Source organism: Homo sapiens, chromosome 5, assembly GCF_000001405.40.
Source record: "Homo sapiens chromosome 5, GRCh38.p14 Primary Assembly".
Lineage (NCBI taxonomy): Eukaryota > Metazoa > Chordata > Mammalia > Primates > Hominidae > Homo > Homo sapiens.
The window spans coordinates 11,700,037-11,722,451 of NC_000005.10; the positions used below are offsets into that span (position 1 = coordinate 11,700,037).

Genomic DNA, 22,415 nt, shown 5'->3' on the forward strand with positions numbered 1-22,415 from the left:
GTAGGTAGTTGTGTTTAACATATCAATATGTATTGAAAATTATTTTTTGATTGAAAGATTTAATCACTTGGCCAGGCACAGTGGCTCACATCTGTAATCCCAGTGCTTTGGGAGACCCAAGAGGGCAGATCATTTAAGGTCAGGAGTTAAGAGACCAGCCTGGCCAACATCGTGAAACCCCCAGCTCTACTAAAAATACAAGAAAAATTAGCTGGGCTTGGGGGCACACTGTAGTTTCAGCTACAGAGGAGGCTGAGGCAGGAGAATTGCATGAACCCAGGAGGCAGAGGGTGCAGTGAGCCAAGATCATGCAACTGTGCTCCAGCCTGGGCAACAGAGTGAGACTCCATCTCCAAACAAACAAACAAACAACAACAAACACAAAGATTTAATTATTGAAGGTGAGTGTTCCGACCCTGAGGAGCTTACAATTTGCTGTGGGATCAATGACTTAAAGAATCAAAGCCCTACTTGGTTGTATTCAGCGTGCTGGGGGAGTAAGCCATGGTGAGAATGTGCCTCGGGGTGATGCACATTTGTGAGCTCTTTTCATCGGCGCTGTGTGGTTGCATTCTCTGTCATCCTCTTGGGCTGCCATCCTTTTGTCTGTACCTATTCACTCACTGAAGCCTACGGTCAATAGAGCACTAGTTGAATAGAAGATTATTTTAGATGGAACACTCTCAGATCTCAAGAAATTTCTGAAAAAAAGTAACAGTGCCAGGTAGCTGAGGAAAAGAAGAGATAAGACCTTGAAATAAGAATCTGATTGAACAACTGAACTAAAGAGAGAGAAAAGCCTTTGAAAAGCATGTGATCTACTTGAAATTTGAGGATTTGGGCTATAATATAAATCTGTCATGTTGAAAGAATACTTAGGAAGTTGGTGAAGACAGAACCCGTGCTAATTCGGGGTAACTATAAAATGATTATCTTTATTTCATGAGTAGCATCAGACATAATCAAAGGGCAGTTATTTTATTAAACAGATGCTCACTTTGGTTAAATATTCTGGGATTACCTGAGACCCATTCTGTACATAAATGTCTTTTATGACGTCTAAAGAAATTGTCAATATTCTGAAAGGAGGCTTTTAACAAAATCATGGGCCACAGGTGGAGATTTCTCCTCTTTACTTGAGGACATAGCAGGCTTTCTGAGTATGTATTTCTACTTCAATAAGACCTAAGTCCCCATGAGGAACTCCCCATAGGAAAACCCTAGCACTACCCCATCAGCAAGGGACCTTCCATGCAGAGAATTCCATCGGATGTCACAGATAATGGCTGCCTTTCAACCAGTCTGCTGGATACCCAGGACAAACGTGCATGAAGTATAAGTAAATCCAAAGTGAACTTAATTGACAACCTAATAACAATATCAAATTTAATCAATAGACATCTTTGACCAAGTAATGATTCAGACCACTCAAAGAATTTCTATACATTCAATATTCGTATTTATTCTATTTTGAGTTAAATTGCTAGAATTATGAAATACAGAATTATTAATGAGTTTTCTACATTATATATGATGAATATGTATGAGGACACAATTTTACCCACTTCATTTACTATAACCTAGTCTATGTATTAAAACCCCAAAAGAACATACTTATACATACATAAGTATAAGAAAGAATGAGAAAGAAGTATGGAATACTCCTTAATATAAGCTCCTGTAGTATAAGTGCAGCATTTCTGTTACAAGTCTTATAAAATATATGAAGTATTTATTTGTATAATTTTTATATTAGCTAGGACACAAAAATCATGCTGAGAAAATAGTTAAGGATTTTTATCACTGAAGATAGGCTGAGTTATGCTGCAGTAAAAACAAACTAAAAATCTCAGCAGCTCGAGTCAACGGAAGTTTAAAGAGAACGAATTCTGCAGTGCCTTCCCACTGTGTCTATAAACTCAGCCACATAACTCATCATGGGAAGCAGGACACAAGCAAAGGCTTGGAAAGCACTCGGGCAGTTGGGTTTGTCCTCTTCCTCATGCCTCAACCATCGCTCTGAGAAAATGCCAGGTCTACTGCAGGAAGAAACACAGTGCACAGAACCAGGGGGTCCAGTTGCTCCAGATCACATCTAGTTGAAACCTAGAGACATACAGGCAAAATCAGCAGAATGGAGCTGACCACCCCAGTCCTGTGAGCAAAAAAATGCTTCTTGTGTACCACAAGGGTTTGTGGTTGTTTGTTACATAGCATACTTGTAGCAAGGCACAGCTGATACAGCTGTCAAGGTCCCAGTATCTGATTTTAGCTCCCAGTTTATTTTTCTGTTGTGATGAACACTGTTTAATTCAGTTTCAAGTCCACATGTACATGTTAGTTTTCCCAATCTATTGCCCTATAGTTACATGGAATACATGAAGGAGGTGCTCAGACAGTTCTTGTTTTATTGTATTTCCTGCCAAAAAGATGCCCCATGTTCATATTAGTTATTCCCCTTGATCAGCTCTGCTTCTCTTTTTCCACAACAATTAGTGCTTCTATCCAGAATTACTACTGTCCCTCTTATCTTTCTTCTTCTACCCAGAATTGCAAAGACAATTACAAGTCACTGACTCCAAGCCACTCTCCAGCACAAGGATTGCTACACCGGATCCTAGGGTGGAAATCTCAGGATAATCTTTTCTGGCTATCTGCTAATCCCTTCATATCTTGAGGGCTTCCCCTGGGTACTCTTCAAAAACACAGAGGTTGTTAGCATGCTTTAGCTCTCTATGCAGAGACTGAGCTCCACTTTGACTGCAATGCTTTCCTCCATTTCTCCTTGCTCTAATCTCTGCAGGTGCAAACCAACCCTGACATCCTGGACCCCAAACTGGGTCAAAGAGCCAAGCTCTCTACTTAATTTGGAGGACAGGCTTAGTACCTGATCATGTCAACTCTTAACCAACATCCGCAACACTCAGATGCTTCAGTGTTACTCCCAAAACATGGCAATGGGAGAATACCAACACAGAAAAATTCTAGGATGACGCATTCAGGGATCACAAGGCAGATTCCTACAGGATCACACATGAATGCAGTGGGCTGGCTGGGGTTAAGAGTTGGGTAGAGTCTGCAGGCTCCATCCAAATAGGCTAAGAGCTACCCAACTGAAGTCAATTCATTCCAAGAAGAATCATGTTTCAATTTTTCAAATTTTCAAAAGAAATTAAAAATATATAGTTGGCAATTAATTTTTAAAAACTTATATTGTCCCAATGAAACATACATCCAGTTTACAGATATATGTTTATATATGCTATCAGGAGATAGCAACCACCATAGAGGTTTGATCTATTTGGTGGATTATTCCAGCAGGAAAACAGTGTTCTTACAGTCAGGATACATGCATGGTACCTGAATTATGTTGTTTACTGGAAGCAAGAGGGTCTTGCCTTGCCTTTACCTGGGTTTTGCAGTCAGAATGGAACACAGAGAGTAGGGCTACACAGGCAAATCTCCATTGCTGCTGCAGAGTTACACCTTCTGCCAACAGCAAGTATAATATGCAAAAGATCTTAACTTTCTTTCTAACATTTATTCAGCAAATGCTATGTTCCAGGTACTTCTTTAGTTATTGCAAGATTTAGAGTGGAATAAAATATTGTCTCTGCCCTCAGGGAGTAGACAATTTCACAGTATTACTGTATTTAGTAAACAAACAGATGACTTTCAGTCTTTTGGGTCTCATAGAATGGATTTTTAAAAAGGGTGAATTTGAATTACTTATCTGGATATCTTGTATATCTGCCAAATAATTCGATTTTGGAATAAAGATACAAAATATAATTTGATCAGACCCCCGTATCTCTGATCAGAATCACTTAGTAACTAAAATAGTTAAGAAGGTGCAAAGGAATATTATCCTGGAGGAAGAAAATTAAAAGAATTATCTTTTTCTGAGGGATTCTCAAATAATCTTAAACAAGCATATAGAGTGTCTTAACAATACGTGTACTGGAATCCTCATCTCAAAGCATCCTACAATTTTTTTCATCTCTCATTCAGAGGACAGGGAAAAAGAAAGGAAATGATTTTTCATCAAAAATGTGAACATGCTGTTTTAACATCAATGACTAGAAGACTAGATGTAGTCAAGCTTATTTGAAATTAATTATCTAAGAAGCCTCAATAGTGCTCATCCCATCAATCTTGTTCCGGCCTGACCTCGGAGGACTACCTGCAAAGGTGTGAAGACAGCTCAGACTTCAGAACAATCCAATGCATGGCCTTGGCTGACATTCACTACAGGAAGACTAATTAAGAAGACTTCTCAGAATACAGATGCCTACCTAATGAGAGCTGAAGTAACACATACCATTTTTCACTTCGGTCAAGAAACAGATGACAGAGAGTAGCAGATGGTTCACTTTAACAGAGGCCTGATGAAAATATGAATGAGTGCCTCTCAGTTGCTACCTGGCAGAGTGTTGAAAGCACCTCAGTCACAGAGAGGGATCCTGAACCCAAGTACTTAGCATCAGGAATACAGCTCAAGTTCCAGTTTCCAGAGGATGTTCTAGCAAACATTAGTTGAGGCCACTTAGGTTTGGAACGGACTGTGTTGGTCCTGGAGGGCTCCTCGAATGGATGCATCCTAACCTTTAACCCACAATAAGAGAAATGTACTTAAGCCCACCTCTAAATGAATTTGTCTTCAGCTTGTTCCTCTGGAGGCCCTATGTCCAGCCCAACTATGATATAGCTGTCACAGTTTAGTTGTGGCTCACAGTTAGGAAAAAGGAAAAAGCTGCCTACATAAAGCATATTTACTTGGCTCCCTTCCCTGAAACCCACTGCAATGGAGGAAAACAACATAATCACACGTAATAAAAATGGAAAATATCTACAATACAAATGCTAACCTAGTGAAACTAAACTAAGGACACACAAAGTCAGTGTGTTTCTCTCCAGAGCTCAAGCAGAAGGCAGATTTTGCTAGAATTAAATGAGAGACTCTTGAGCATCTCAGCTCAAAATGATTCATTTTCTGACAATTAAATTAGGGAAACTGTCTGAAGATAAATCCAGAAGGGAAAGAAAAAATAGCCACAAGCTTTTGAAGAGCTGACATCTGTCAATGGTGCAGGCATAAATCATCTCCAAATAGCCAACCAAATGCCTGAACAGGACAAATACCACACTGACCTTCTGCCAGGATGATCAGCTTCTCTGCCCAAAGATGTGTCTCCAACCCAAAGGATGCTACACATTGTGTATGGAGAAACAGAATGTGTCTGAGCACTACGCCAGCCAGAATTCTTCCCCCACCCAACTCCATTCCTGAGCAAATCATGGGCCACACTTGAGAATAATTATTAGAAAGAGAAAAAGCTAATGTAATATAAGTGGAAAAAGCAAAAGGCAGATGACAGAAGTAATTCAATAAACTGCAAAACAGTATATATAGCCAGATCCCTTATATGAAAATATATGTATATGTGGGCATATAAATAAAATAATACCTGGGATGAGACATCTGAAAATGTAAATAGTATATATCTGAGTAGTGAGAGAGGGGTTAATGTGACGCTTCTACTCTTTGCTTTATTCATATAGGAACATTTTAAAAATATAATTTTGAAAAAACAGCTGAGTTGAGCTTAGCCTCTGAAGAGAGTGAACATCCCTTCAGGGAAGTGGTATAATGCTGTCAGACTTGAACCTTGATCCTTTTTCTTCTATCCCTTTTATCTTTCCCTTGACTCTATGGTGAACCACTTTAGAGTGTCCACACTTTTATGCAGTCCTCCACATCTTGAGTGTGGATAGGACCCATGACTTGCTCCTAATCAAAAGAATATAGCACAGTGATGGGATGTCATACCTATGATTACACTCCATTATATACACATGCATTACGTGAGACTTTATCTTGGGAATAGACTCACTCTAGAGACTCCCCTGGCTAGCTAGAGGAAGCAGCAGCTGTACTGGGAAATTCCACATGGCAAGGAATTATGAGTAACCTTTAAGGACCACAGGTAGCCTCTAAGAACTGAAAGTAGCTTCCAGCCTTGAGCCAGACAGTATCCCAGGCCCTCAGACCTGGAGGTCTGAACAAATTCTGCCAACAGTCTGAGTGAACTTGGAAGCAGATTCTTTTCCAGCAAAGCCTTCAACAAAACCCAACCCAGCCAACCCTTGATTGCAGCTGTGTGAGGTTCTGAGGAGGGGGCCCAGCTAGTCTGTGCCTGGACATCTGACTCGCAGAAACTGAACTCATAAAAGTGTGCTTTTTTAGGCCAAAGACAAAACAAAAGCAAAACTCTGAAACCATTTCCATTGGTGTGATCACTGAATCAAGGTGGTAAAATATGGGCCGAGCAAGGGATAGGGATGAGGCCTTCTCAACACCAGTGCTTTCCAAATATTTTTTGAAAGTCAAGTTTATTGGGGGAAATCTTATAGTCAGTAAAATTTATCCTTCTTAGGTATAAAGTTTAACATGTTTTGGCAAATATATAAAGGCAGATAAGCACCACCAAATCAAGATACAGAGTGCGTCATCACACTAAAGAGTACTCTCTTTCCCTTAGTTGTCAGCCACCTGCCCTGGCCCGCAGGCATCCACTGATAGGATTGTCTACAGTTATGTCTTTTTGTGAATATCACATCAGTAGAATCACACATAGCCTCTTGTGTCAGTCTCCTTTCACTTAACATAGCATTTCTGAGATTTGCACAAATTGTTGTATGCATCATAATTAGTTTTTTTTGATGATGAACTTTCCTACCAGGGAAGCTACTAAAATAAGGAAGTAAGGCCAGCGCGGTGGCTCAGGCCTGTAATCCCAGCACTTTGGGAGGCTGAGGCGGGCGGATCACGAGGTCAGGAGATCGAGACCATCCTGGCTAACGCGGTGAAACCCCATCTCTACTAAAAAATATAAAAAATTAGCCTGGCGTTGTGGCGGGCGCCTGTAGTCCCAGCTACTCGGGAGGCTGAGGCAGGAGAATGGTGTGAACCCAGGAGGCGGAGCTTGCAGTGAGCCGAGATCACGCCACTGCACTCCAGCCTGGGAGACAGAGCAATACTCCATCTCAAAAAAAAAAAAAAAGAAAGTGAAAATTAGGTGTCCCACAACTATGACTTTTGACAACGTGTGACTGCAGAAACACAGCACTTCTGAGATTTGCACAAATTGTTATATGTATCAGTAATTAGTTTTTTTTGTTGATGAACTTTCTTACCAGGGAAGCTACTAAAATAAGAAAGTGAGAACTAGGTGTCCCACAGCCATGACTTTTGACAAGGTGTGACTGCAGAAACAGAGCCGGTCTGCCAGTCCCATCCTCCTCTCATGCACACAGACCTAATGATTTTTCTACAGAATATACCCGTTGTCTCCATGCAGAGGCCGAACAATGACCTGCATCTCACTTCTGCCTTCTTTTTCTCATGCAAGTAATCCAAGTGGTAAGACCTCAAACAAATTCAGGACCCTAAATGAAAAGGAGTCTGGGAAATATATTTGTACCTTTCCAGCCTCTGTAGTTCAGGAAGATACCACAGGAAAAAACTACAATAGGTGATGAGTGACAGTCCAAAATCCCCAAAACCAGGAACACAGGACACACAAATGCCACAGTACATATTAAATGCTAAATTTTCAACTATTTTTTAGAGTAAACCAAAATATAAGTAAAAATTGTAATTTTTCTTCCTACTCTCTCTCTTATGAAAATCACTTTTGTAAGCCAATATTTTAGACACACAACAATTTGCGATTACAAAGTCTGTTTAAAAATAAAAGAAGAAAAACTACAAAAAAGCCTCAGGGTCTTCAAACATCATCACTGCAGACAGCTCTCACTGTATGACTCTAATTAATCTCTTGGAGCCTCCATTTCTACATCTTTAAAGAGACAAAGTTAAATATTTCTAAGAACTTTCCACTCCTAAATTTCTGCATTTTGCTAATTGTAGGATATTAGCTATGATGCTAAGTGGTAACTCACATATATTCAGAAGAAATATATTGATGATTAAAAGTATGTTTTAAAGATGATTTTTTTTTTTTTGAGATAGGGTCTCACTCTGTCACTCAGGTTGGAGTTCAGTGGTGTGTTCTTGGCTCACTACAACCTCCCCATCCCAGGCTCAAGCAACCCTCCCACTTCAGCCTCCCAAGTAGCTGGGACTACAGGTGCATGCCACCACACCTGGCTATAAAGATGATTTTTTAAACTTAAATAGATTTATCAGTGGTAAAATGTAACAAAACCCATTGCAGAGTAATAAATTGTATTTAATTTTTACTATAATATATAATGTGCGTCAGTTTGCTAAGGAAAAAAGCAATTAAACATTACCAAAGGGGGCCAAGAAATCTCCTAAAGTGAAAAGCTGTAAGTAAGAAAAGATGAAACCTTTCTTTAAGGGTTTAATCATGGTTCTCTCTAGATATTGGAGAGATCTGAGTAGTTCTACGAATTATAATAACACTAGTAATAAGTCTTTTATTTACAGGATACTAATCTGCTAGGATGTATCCATTTGCACAACCTGAATAACAATGTCTAAAATATACAAGTTTATTTTTCTTGCTTGGCGAGTCTGGGATTATCTAGGGCGGGCCTTCTGCAGTGTGGCTCAAGTACGATGAAGACACAGGCTCCATCATTCTGGATGCTTCCCCATCCTGGGAGTGTTGTTTGTCAACTCAGGGCCATGAGCTCTGTTGCAGTTCCAGGCAACAGGCCACATTTAAGGCAGGGTAAGCACCACAAAATCAAGATACAGAATGTTTCATCACCCTGAAGAGTACCCTCCTTCCCTTTGTTGTCAGCCCCCTCCCGTGACCCACAGGCATCCACTGATGGGATCTGTCTATAGTTATGTCTTTGTGAATATCATATAAGTAGAATCATACATAGCCCCTTGTGTCTGTCTCCTTTCACCTAACATAGTGCCTTTGAGATTCGCACAAATTGTCACATGCATCAGTAGTTATTGGTTTATGAACTTTCTTACCAGGGAAGCTACTATGATAACAAAGTGAAAACTAGGTATCCTGTAAGATTGAAGAATGGCAGTGCATCGACTGTTCCCAAGAGAGCAAGAACTGTTTCAAAAAACACAGTAGGTTTCTGCGTTTATGTGTCAGAGCTATGCCTGTGACACACCCGGCTACTGAAGAGGCTGGGAAGATAAAATCAGCTTTCCCACTTCTACAGCAGAAGCCAGAAAAGGAGAAGGCAGTTTCACTCGGCTAATGGGCAGTATCTGGCCAAGATTTACAAGATGAAAGTCTTTCATAGCTGCTATTCTTTAGGAACATTACCAGCTAGAGTTAACTCCAGGCCCAGCTACACAGCAGTGTGAATGATCTCTTATTCAATGACCACTGACTCTAGAAAAACTCTCAACTATACTGTGACATGGGTGTGTTTGCTCAAATAATTTAATCATGTAAAAGCATCTCTTCTTGGATCTGTTAAAGCACTTGTCAAAATGTCAGATAAAAGAAGATGATGAACTAAACTGTATTATAAAATTGTGTACAATAATCCCAAACAGTTAGTTATTTTTTTCTGCTTGCTAAGAATACAGCGTGACCTGCAAAAACAACATAAAAAGTTAACAATTCTACAGAAAGCAATAAGAGCAGTGCAGAGAGAATTGCTTCCATCATTTAAGAAACGGTAGACAAAGTATTGAGAAGCCTTAAAACAAGTGCAAATGATGCTGTCAGTAAGTATAAGGTTGGACTCCTTTTACTATGGAGAGATTTTGTACAAAACATTTCTTTAATATTAAACTAATGTTTTCTTAGCTAAATTATCGTATAGTGAAATTGTCCTTTAAGTACATTTTAAAAACAGAAATCATGCTCATTTAATAAAATTAAGATATTACAAAAAAGCATATTTGTACATTAATAATGTAAGAGTTATTTAGAAAAATGCCTTTGGTGTTCCACTTAAGATCCATGAATGGCATGTATTCTGTGATATATGGAATATAAAAATATTTTTATTATAAGAGATTAACTTAAACCCACAGAGACATTTCAATGTAGTGAGGGAGAGGTGACCACAGATAACTCTAATACCTGTTAGAGATGACTATGCATCCCAAGAGAAGGGCAGGCAAAGGAAAGATGATTGTTCCTTCCTCAGCTTTAAGGAGCCAAGAACCATTTATCTGGATTTTGACCTGCTTCCCTTTGTCTCCATCTCCTAAATCAGGTGATGGTTTAAGGAACCCTTCGGTCCGGCTGGGTGCCGTGGCTCACATCTATAATCCCAGCACTTTGGGAGGCTGAGGTGGGTGGATCACGAGGTCAAGGGATCGAGATCATCCTGGCCAACATGGTGAAATCTGTCTCTACTAAAATTACAAAAATTAGCTGGGCATGGTGGCGTGCGCCTGTAGTCCCAGCTACTTGGGAGGCTGAGGCAGGAGAGTTGCTTGAAACCAGGAGGTGGAGGTTGCAGTGAGCTGAGATCACACCAACTGCACTCCAGCCTGGGCCAAAGGCGAGACTCCATCTCAAAAAAAAAAAAAAAAAAGACAGAAAGAAAACTGATCTCACAGCAAAAACAGCTTGAAGAATGTCTACACTTTCTCCTTCGTTGGCCTATTAGCAGAAATCCTTGAAGGCAGATCTAGGAAACAGGAACTGATGAAAAACAAACATGAACTTTAACTCTACAAGTCTATTTTTTCCCTAAATGCCTCAGCCTGCTGCCTTCACAGCAGTTACAGCTGAAGGTCCGGGCAGTGCACCACTACAGTGGCATTTTCAATGGAAGGGAGGTTAGGGTTGAGTTTGCTATGTGCATCAAAGCTTTTGCTACGTTTCTCTTTTATTTTTTGTCATAGCAAAACAAAATACCATGCAATCTGATCCTTTGCCTATTCAGTTTAAACATAAGAAAAACAAGTTTTAACCCCTTGTCACTCCACATCATTTGTACAGATAATACATTTAATTTCCTTCCAGTGTGTTCTTATTGACTCTAATTATCAAAGAGAAATCACTGAGATTCCCATTCTTCTTACCAATGATTGGCTTAATTTTTTTTTTTTCTTTTTGAGAGGAAGTCTCACTCTGTCGCCCAGGCTAGCATGATCTTGGCTCACTGCAACCTCTGCCTCCTGGGTTCAAGTGATTCTCCTGCTTAAGTCTCTGGAGTAGCTGGGATTACAGGCATGTGCCACCACGCCAGGCTAATTTTTGTATTTTTAGCAGAGACGGGGTTTCACCATGTCGGCCGGGCTGGTCTTGGAACTCCTGACCTCAGGTGATGCACCCGCCTTGGCCTCCCAAAGTGCTAGAATTACAGGCATGAGCCACCACGCCGGGCCGACTGGCCTAATTTGATAGCATTTTTTTATATATATTTAATCGGCATAGTCCTAATTTTAACATGTAGGGCATGCTCATTGCACGCCACTTACATATAGAAATGTACATTCAGGTTTCACTATTGTCTTTTATATAAAAAAATCAAGCAGATATTCTTATGTTAATGGCACATAAAAGTAATAGCTAATGGTTATTTTGTTATTACTACATGTTATGAACTGTTTTAAGCTCTTTAGCTATATTAACTTTGAAATTCTTACAATTCTGCGAGATAAATACTATTATTAACTTTAACAGATAAAACTGACGCACAGAGAGGTTAAATAATGTAACAAAATATATTTACAACACTCCTAGTTACTGTTAAAATGAAGTATAGTTTTGTCTATGGATAACATTCACATCTTGATCTTTCACACTTTGCCACATACTAGCCACACGGCCTTAAGTATGCTAACTTATCTCATTAAGCCTCAGTTTCCTCATCTTTCAGATGGGCATGGGAATTGTATATGATTCTGGTAGGTGGGCAGATTATAAGATAATGTGTGTGAGGCATGGTGCCTGGATCACAGTAAGTCCTCATTGATAATTAGTTAACATTATTATTAGTAGGAGTTCAAACACTGACTTCTAGTCTTGGATTGGGAGTTTATAATTTGTGTAATGTTGGATAAAAGACTTAAGATCTTTGCTTTCCCTATTTCTTTGCCTGTGGAGTGAGAACTAAATGTCCCCAGCCAGCTCCATCATGTAGCATAAGGTCAAGTCAAACAATGTTTGCAGAAGCAGTCGGTAAACTGTAAAGAACTAGACACATACAAACTACTTCTTTTATTAACTCAACAGGGAGAAAAAGGCTTTAACCTTTTATTCCACAATGACTACTTCCAAAAGTTTCAGGGTCTCTGAGCTAACACAGATAAATGCTTTCATTGCATTTTTTTTTAATGGCAAAGTGGTAGCTGATTTTTAAAGAGTTTTCAGAAATATTTTCAACAAAGTACCTCTCAGCAACTTTCTTAGGATACAGACCTCTCTCTGAAGTTTCACAGTCCTTGCATCTGTAATTATGGATGAAATGTAGTATTCCTACTAACAACACTGAGACATCAAGAAAATGCTGAAATGTTTGTACTGTTCTGTTCTTTATTCAATAAAGGGCATACAGCAGTGTTAAAATAAAAATAATTTTATAAAGACAATTTAAATAGAAATATTAAAGTACTTGTAAAGTTCAAACTCTAAAGTTTCTTATTTGAAACTCATTTTTCCAATGATGCTAATTCAATAGGTATAATTTAAATAATATTTTTCTAAATTCGTGGTCACAAGGATTGTTTTTGGACATTAAAAGAAGAGGGTAAAATAAAACAAAAGAGTCGTTCATCCTAGAAATCAGAGTTTAGTAACTTCCCACAGTTAGCAAACTTAATAGCTTAAAATGAGTTTAAAATAGAATCAAATATACTAGTTGGAGAAGATAAGTTTTTACGAGATTATTTTTTGATTAAGTATATGCCATAGTGAAAATGGGGATATGATACTGAACAGCAGCACACAAAAGCAGAGGTATTTTTTGATAATATAGTCATTCATAGTATCCTAGGGGTCAGGCTAAAGATAAATAAAGTTCGAGCCACATTCCTGCAAAAATGGTATGTACACAGTGCTGCAAAATGGGGAGAAGGAGAAAGAAATGAGAACATAGGATATTCCTCTCCTTATGAAAAATTATATTGACTATGACCAGACAGAAATACTAAATACAGTCAGCAATTTATTTCTTATTTTAGGATGACAGAAATCAATGTGAATGGGTGATTTCACAAATAACATTTGTTTTTGTTGTTAATATTACTATTATTAGAAGGGCTGAAATTAAAAACTATTCTTTGTGGAGACAATTAGCACCTACCTATATTAGAAATACAATATGTAAGCCAGGTGCAGTGGCTCAGGCCTGTAATCCCAGTACTTTGGGAGGCTGAGGCAGGAGGATCATGAGGTCAGGAGTTTGAGACCAGCCTGATCAACATGGTGAAACCCCATCTCTACTAAAAATACAACAATTAGCTGGGCATGGTGGCATGCACCTATAATCCCAGCTACTCAGGAGGTTGAGGCTGGAGAATCGCTTGAGCCCAGGAGGCAGAGGCTGCAGTGAGCCAAGATTGCTCCACGCCACTACAGTCCAGTCTGGGTGACAGAGTGAGACTCCATCTCAAAAAAAAAAAAAAAAAAAAAAATACCATATATATACATATATATAAAGGACAGTTTTTCTCCTAGTATTTTCATCATGAGGATAAGACTTCTGCAACAACCTGGATATCATTAGAATATCTAAATACCAGCTCCATTTCATTTCAATACAGACAAATAAAATGTAACACAGAGCCTTAATTCTGCAAATTTCTTAGGGTACAAATTGCAATGAAATATGTCATGGATTTGAAGACTAAAATAAATGGTTTGAAACATTCATTAACACAATCTAAACTTGCCATCTTTAGTGATCAAGGCTTCTGGACCTACCGTTCACCTGGAAGTGTGGCATAGGACACTGGGGACAGCAGGGGGGCGGGACTCTGAGGACTCCATTCAAGTATGGCAGGTCCCTAACAAGACCGTAGCCTCGACAACAAGTTCAATATTAGTTTAACTGTAAATTACATTCTATATTTAACTTTGTTACACGGGGAGTATATGTTTGCTGTGAGTGATGGCTTAATTTATTTTTAAAGAGAAAGTGAAAGATATTTCTCGTGATTGTATCTGAAACATAGTGAATGAATTTGATGGAAGGAGTGCTCCTGTGGAGCTAACATTGGTAGAAAATGAAAAAAGGGAAACCCTATCAGAAACTGACTGGAGTCGGCCTTCCAGACAGAAAAACAAATGCCTCAACACCTCTTTAAATGTTTTTATTTTCCTAGGGATAATGACAATTTTTTTTTATGACCAGCTCCATATTTTTCTTAAGATTACTGCATGAATTTCTCTCTTCCTCTCTCAATACCTTACTCTGGTAAAGTTACAGAGCATTACACTGGTTGCCTTGATCTTTTACTTCATTTATATGCATTTACAGATTAGCAGAGAAGCAAGCTCACTTAAAAGGTAGGAAAATTTAGGTTTGAATGCCATTCTCACATTTAATAGTCTGTGACCCAGAATAGGTTGTAAGATCTCTCTTAGCCTCATCTTCATTTTAACTTGAGGATGATACAATCTTCCTCATATGTAAATTGTAATAATTCAGGGGGCCTGGCGCAGTGGTTCACACCTGTAATCCCAGCACTTTGGGAGGCCGAGGCGGGCGGATCAAGAGGTCAGGAGATCGAGACTATCCTGGCTAACACAGTGAAACCCCGTCTCTACTAAAAATACAAAAAAAAATTAGCCGGGCATGGTGGCAGGTGCCTGTAGTCCCAGCTACTCGGGAGGCTGAAGCAGGAGAATGGCATGAACCCGGGAGGCGAACAGAGCTTGCAGTGAGCCGAGATCCCACCACTGCACTCCAGCCTAGGTGAGAGAGCAATATTCCGTCTCAAAAAAAAAAAAAGAAAGAAAGAAATCAGGAAGGTAAAGAATGAAAATGTACGTGTATTGCGATACATTATTATTAGCTATTATGTTTATGATTATCATTAAGGGAAACAATAATACTTATGTAAAAATAAAATACCTTAAGATTTTGAGAGATAGGGTTTCTGTCTTAGAGTGAATTTTTCTTCATGGCCCTGAGTTACCAGGCAGAGTGATTGGGGAAAATAAATGCCCCAATTTAATATCCAATACTCTCTGGACAAGTTTAGTTCCATAGCCAGAGCAGATGTGAATGATACTATCAAGCATGAACTCCTCATTCACTCATTTTTACACAAGAGTATCACAAGAGACTGCCAAATGCTTTATTGAAATCACGAAGCATTACATCTTCAGGTTGTCGCTGCTTTATTTGTATGGTAATCTGTTGGGGAAAAAAAACAAAGGAAAACACACAAACAAAAAACAAGGCAGTTTGTAACCATTCCTTCTGAGTGAATCCAGGTGGGCACATTCTGATGAATTTTTCAATGTATTCTCCAGCAGTTGACTTAACTGTTAACTCCAAAACCTCCTGTTAGTCAAGCCTTTTTAAGAAAGGAAAAGATCCTTTAACCATCTCCAGAAAGTTGTCCAAATAACAGATACATGTGACAAGTAGATTTACCCTTCCTACTCTTTTCTGGGAATTCAGTTCTAGGAGGCCTTGCCAGGAGTCAATATTCTGGAATGCTTCAATTCATGCATAGCTTCTTAAAGGCATCTTATAAATGTCTTAAGATAGAAATGGAAATGTTATGGGCCTGCCTATAAAGAGATTACCCATCCAAGTGCCAAATACATGATTTAGTTAGAATGCATTTGGTTGCGACAGAAGGTCAATGTGAGCTAGTTTAAGCAAACCAAAAAAATGAAAATGACAAAAAACAAAATCAAACAACAAAAAATAATTTATTGGAAGAATACTGGGATCTCTCACTGAATCCAAAGAGTTGAACAATCAAGCATTCTAGCTTTCTTTACAGGGCAGAAAACAAGGCCTCCAATTATCCAAACTCTCTATCGTAGACAAGCAGACTTCGTTCAATACATAATAATGCTGGCATGAAAGGACTCAGAAAAAATGCACTGATGTGTCCGCATCTGTTCAAGTAACCATTCTGGGGCCACCAATCCTCTACGACCAACATGAGCATGGGGTATCTGGACTATTCACAGAGTGAGCAATTAGGGCTTGACAGCCACTCATAAGGGGTTTCCCATAGTAACTTCCGGATTCCTTTATACCAGGTCTGATGTGATACTACATCATTATCAAGTCATAATGTTTCTTGAAAAATGTAAACCCAACAACAAGAAGAGTAGCAATTTAGTTATACACTTAATTAAATAGTTTAAATAATAAAATAATTGAGGGATGTTAACAAAGGATAAATGTAACTTCTCATTCATTTATTTATGTGTATGTTATCAAAAAGGTCAAATTCAAGCATGTGCCCAGATAGCATTACCATGAATAAGAGAGATTATTTACTTTGGTTAAACTCTTTTAAAATTAAATGTGAGGTATTATTGCAATTGAAATATTCACATCACAGCCTTGCAACCCTTGCATCTACCTAAATATATTAAATTTCATTTACTTATTTTCTCTCTATACAATTTCTAACAGTTGTTATTTATTTAATCATTCATTCATTTAACCTAAAATTGAATCCCATCAGTTAAGAAATTGGAAAGTACTAGTCTTTTTATTTACTTATTTGTTTATTTATTTATTTATTTATTTATTTATGAGACGGAGTCTTGCTCTGTCACCGAGGCTGGAGTGCAGTGGCGCAATCTCAGCTTACCACAACCTCCTCCACCTATGTTCAAGCAATGCTCCTACCTCAGCCTCCCAAGTAGCTGGGATTACAGGTGTCCATCATCATGCCCAGCTAAGTTTTGTGTTTTTTGTTTGTATTTTTGTATTTTGAGATGGAGTCTCACTTTGCCACCAGGCTGGAGTGTAGTGGCACAGTCTCAGCTCACTGCAACCTCCGCCTCCCGGGTTCAAGGGATTCTCCTGCCTCAGCCTCCCGAGTAGCTGAGACTGCAGGTGTGCACCACAATGCCCAGCTAATTGTTGTATTTTTAGTAAAGACGGGGTTTCGCCATGTTGGCCAGGCTGGTCTCAAACTCCTGACCTCAGGTGATCCACCCACCTCAGCCTCCCAAAGTGCTGGGATTACCAGCATGAGCCACCATGCCCGGCCAAAAGTACTAGTCTTGATACTAGAAATTTTGTTATGAAATAGTGATTTTTTGAAAAGACAGAAAATGAGTTTCACCTTACTCACTGTATTAGTTTGTTCTCACGCTGCTAATAAAGACGTACCTGGCAGGGCACAGTGGCTTACACCTGTAATCCCAGCACTTTGGGAGGCTGAGGCAGGTGGATCACCTGAAGTCAAGACTTGGAGACCAGCCTGGCCAACATGGTGAAGCCCCATTTCTACTGCAAATACAAAAAAAATTAGCCGGGCATGGTGGCAGGCACCTGTAATCCCAGCTACTTGGGAGGCTGAGGTGGGAGAATTGCTAGAACCCTGGGGGCAGAGGTTGCAGTGAGCTGAGATCACGCCACTGCACTCCAGCCTGGGAGACAGAGCAAGAGACTGTGAAAAAAAAAAAAAAAAGATGTGCCTAAGACTGGGTAATTTATAAAGGAAAGAGGTTTAATGGACTCACAATTCAGCATGGCTAAGGAGGCCTCACAATCATGGCAGAAGGCAAAGGAGAAGGAAAGTCACGTCTTACATGGGGGCAGGCGAAAGAGAGATTGTGCAGGGGAATTCCCATTTTTAAAGCCATCAGATCTCATGAGACTTATTTACTACCATGGGAACAGTATGGGGGAAACTGCCCCCATGATTCAGTTATCTCCACCTGGCCCCACTCTTGACATCTGGGGATTATTACAATTCAAGGTGAGATTTGGGTGGGGACACAGCCAAACCATATCACTCACCATTAATGCTATCAACACCTTCTTAAATATATTCCAACAATTTAAATAAAATAGCTTTATTGACTTCCATAAAATAGTCCAATGGCAATAAAACATCAGGACTCTTGAAATGAATTTCGCACATTCAATTCAATCTCAGTGGTTAAGTGTGAAATTTATTACTATTGTTACTCATGATCAATTAATAAAATAATTTCAATATTCGTATTTGTAGCTACTATGCAAAGAGCAGCTTCCATATTCCAGGCACTACGACAGGCCCTTTCCATTGAATCCAAAAGAAGGAAGATGTCTCAAAGGGGCACAAGGACACTTTGCACAGCATAATTCAAATAGTGGCTAATGTTCTTAAGATTTAATGAGGACTATCTAGAGTCTCCTATCCCACCTTTTGTGAGAATTTCAATTGACCCAAGATTTCTGGAAACCCCAGAACTTCATGTTCTACTGGTCATCTGTGGCTCTGAGCTCCCGCTTCTGTAGGAAATATCTCCTTCTCCATTCACGGACAATAACTATTCTATGTGCTGACTGAGATGAGCAACACAACTTGTTCTCCTTGATTTCCCCAAAGCCTCTTGATATCAGACATTGGCAGGTGCTGGGACTTGCAAACACACTTGTGATCCAGAGGGTTTTAAGTCACAGCAACAAAAATGACCTGATTATCAAGAGTTCTAACACATTTTCTTTTTTTACAAAAAAAAAAATAAGAAAAGTAAGAGAGAAAAAATCTACATCTTCTCCCAGAACACTGAAATGTAACATGTTGAAGTGTTATCAAGGAGCTTTGAAACGCCTCCTGCACTCTCTCTCCAGCGGATTTATAGACCATCTCATGTAATAATCTGTCAATAAGTTAAATTCTGAAAGCTCATTTATTATTATTTTTTCTCTACCAAATATCCTCTCCTCTCTCCATATTTCCTTAGTGACTAAAGAAACTCCAGATTCACCATTGGATTTCCTGATTTAATCCCCAGCTTGAGACTGCATAGTCTTTACTGCTTAATTGTCTAAGAGAGATGGCAAAGAGTAATTCATCAAGCTGATATCAACTGAGGAGCACAGATTTCCATGGGCATCCTAATAAACTAATATGTGTTTGTAAAATGTGTGTTATTATATGCATACATTCCATTACAACACTGAGAGCTAACTGTCTTCATTTTATCAGATAATTAAAATCAGTTTCAGAAATGTTACATAACCAAGGCCGTTCAGTAAGAAAATGCTGGAGGAATCTGAAGTAAGTCTACTGATTCCAAATGTATCACTTTTTCCATCATGCAGAATATTAGCCCACACTCTATGGCCACTTATGAATCAGTCCTTAAAACAAGATGGCATACTTCTCCTTCAGAAGCGAGTGTCACGTAGCTTACTCTGTGTCATGGCAGAAGCCATGAAAATTACCTTATCCTTAAAATAGATTACAGCCCAGTAGTACTGAGTGACTTTCCCCCTAATTAACAAAGATAATCAGATGTCCCACCTCAAGTCCTTACCTAGACTTGTGGTGGAGACAATGGTTCCTAACGCTACATAATAAATTGTCTGTTGTTATAGATACTACATATTTACAAAGTATGGATATCTCAGACCACAGAGGAAAGATTCTTAGCAGGAACAACAACAACAAAACTATATTTAAATGTTGTCAAGATTAAAAAATAATATGCAATATTTATCCTTAGCGATGAAATACTAATAAGTAGATTTTACTAGCTAACAAGTTATATGTCAGAGTTTAACAACATCTATGATTTGGAGAAGACCTTAGTTCATTTAGTTAAATCTTCACTCTAATTTAAGTCCCTCACAGATATTCATTCAGATTCTCCTTGCTTAATTCTAACATCTAGGACTTCGCTACTTCTCTCTTTGAATTTGTGGGTAGCTCTGACATATACACACACACACACACACACACACACACACACACACACACACACCACAGATCCTTTCCAACTTTTTTCGTACCCTAGTATCCTATGTTTCATATGGTAGTTAGAAAAGGATAATATATTTTGAGCATGCTGTGCAAGGCAATGGACGAAGCCAGTGCAAAGAGCTTACCCAGCCACACCCCAGGCTAAAAAGAATTGCATCTCAGCACATTTACTGACAAGCGATGGTACATCTCTGTGCTGCCACCCACTGGTCAAAAGGTCTGTCATTGATTACTGTTTGTCAGTGAATTTCCCAAAGAGACAGCAGCAACTGGCCGTACTTGAGAGTACTTCCCTAAATTTGTCATTTGCTGGCATCTTTGAGACCATTTTTTCCATTAAAAAAAAGTCTACCTTATGAACACATCCCAGAGGCAGATCTGCAGTGAAACTTGCCATTGTCACTAGCAATGTAAACCCCAAACCTATTTGTTCCTTCCAAATATATGGGGGGCTACTTAAGTCTTTGAGTTATTCCTTTCAGGCTTAAAGTTCCTCAAGTTTGTAACTGAGATTCATATCTGGCACAAGACAGAGACCTGCCTCTCCTAAATTTTGACGCTTTATCCTAAGCTCTTCTCAGTTGTACAACAGTTATTGAACAAAAGTTTGGTTCTTCTTTTGCATAACCATATTTGAAGACAGCTCCTACAGCCCCCCTTCCTGTCTCACCCGACCACCCACAATTTGCAAGCCAAGCATCATTGATTTTCCCACCTGCAACATATGTAACTTGGTTTCTATATTCTTCACAGGTGTGGGTATGCTGCCGCGACTCATGTTTGGGAGCTTATTTTGTCTACTGACTAAATATATTGCTAATATTTTTAAATATAATATTTACATATTTTAAAATGTGTTGTTGGTCTGCCATGGAATTTTTTTGATGTTCTTAGGCTCTGGTCTAGCAGTTCATTTCAGTGTTACCTCAGCTCACTATTCTGCCTATAGTCAAAAAAGTCAGAAAACATCAAGTGTTGGCAAGGATGTGAAGATATTGTAATCCTCATAAAATACAGAAACAGCCTGGCGGTTCTTCAGAATGTTAACCTAGTGTTGTCATGTGACCCAGCATTTCCACTCTTAGGTTTTTATTACCCAAGGGAAATAAAAACATATGTCCACACAAACTTGTACACAAATATTCACAGCAACACTATTCCCAATAGACAACAAGTGAACACAACCCAAATGGCCATCAATGAATGACTGCATAAATGAAATGAGGTGTATCCATACAGTGGAATATTATTTGGCAGTAAAAAGTAATGAAATCCCGATGCATGCCACAACATGAATGAAACTTGAAACATTATGATAAGCAATATAAGCCCTTTAGAAAAGACCATATATTTATAATTCCATTTACATAAAACAATCAGAATAAGAAAATCTGCAGAAGCAGAAAGTATAATAGTGGTTTCCTGGAGTGACTGTGACTATACCAAAACCACATAAAAAAGGGAACAGTATGGTATGTGAGTAAATCTCAATAAGCTGTTTTTTTTTAAATTCACCCCAGGCTACATAGAATCGTAAGACTTAGAAGTAGAGAAAATGGTCTAACATGACTGATTTTTTATAAACATGGAAAAAATGAGTGAATTGGTTATCTACTGCTGTGTAACAAACCACCTCAAGATTTACTGACTTGAAATTACAACCACCATCTGCTTTGGTCCTCTATCTCCAAATATCAATGAGGACAGATGGCCTCTGCTTCACACAGCATTAGCTGGGGCTCGGGGCTCCACTGCTGATGGCTCACTGGAAAGGTTGCTAAGTCAGTGCTGGCATCAGCCAGGAGTTCAGATGGTGCTGCATGCCTGGAGACTGCGTGCCTGTCCACATGGCCTCTTTACAAGTGTCTTGAGCATGTTCACCTCATGGTGACTGGTTTCTAAGAATGAGCATCTCAGAAGAACTAGGCAGGAGGTCTACTTCCCTGTAGCCCTGGTCACATGCATTCCCTTCCACCATAGTCCTAAGCCTAACTGGAATGAAGAAGAGGAAATATGGAGCTCGTCTATCAACGGGAGAGGATCAGATTCTCATCACAAGAAGGATGGGAGACATAGGAAATTGTGATCTAGCACTCTGAAACAAGACAACTTACCATAGTGAGTTTTAGGCTAAGTTTATTGTCACAATTCCCCTGTTTACTTCGCCTTCCTGCAATCTTTATTTGTGGTCCACATTTCTAACAAAACCACCTATTTACTCACTTCCTGTGTTGATGAAAAATATATTCATATTTTACATTTTAGTGAGGTAGCTTTCAATAATAGACTGCTTTAAGACACCATTTTCACAGAGTTTTCTCCTAAGAAGATGCTGAAAAGTAAACCCTCACATGAGCCAGGGACAAGAATGAAGAATTTGCTATAACAGTACTTAAATTTTTCAACACAAATCCTCCCAGCATTTTCTTCTATGAAGATTCTATTTCCCGTAAACTGAAGAGAAGACTGAAATTAATGGTTACACAGTTGCAGGTAAGTATGCTTTTTGTCTCTCTTGGAACCATCTACACAAATGTGCTCAAAAGGAAATGTGCTAAAATAAAAAAGTGCCAAC

The 22,415-nt window shown here is 39.0% G+C and overlaps 1 protein-coding gene across 6 annotated transcripts in view, besides 1 other annotated feature; it reads right to left on the reverse strand.

Moving 5' to 3' along the window:
• CTNND2 (catenin delta 2) overlaps nucleotides 1-22,415 on the reverse strand; it is a 932,611-nt gene that overhangs the window by 728,201 nt on the left and 181,995 nt on the right. The gene's annotated exons all lie outside the window — the stretch shown is intronic.
• Nucleotides 270-771: an enhancer, noted in NCBI's record as "NANOG hESC enhancer chr5:11700418-11700919 (GRCh37/hg19 assembly coordinates)". NCBI's record gives its function as "activates a minimal SCP1, AML or CMV promoter by ChIP-STARR-seq in primed H9 embryonic stem cells {active_cell/tissue: H9 hESC(primed)}" and the evidence as "EXISTENCE:reporter gene assay evidence [ECO:0000049][PMID:30033119]".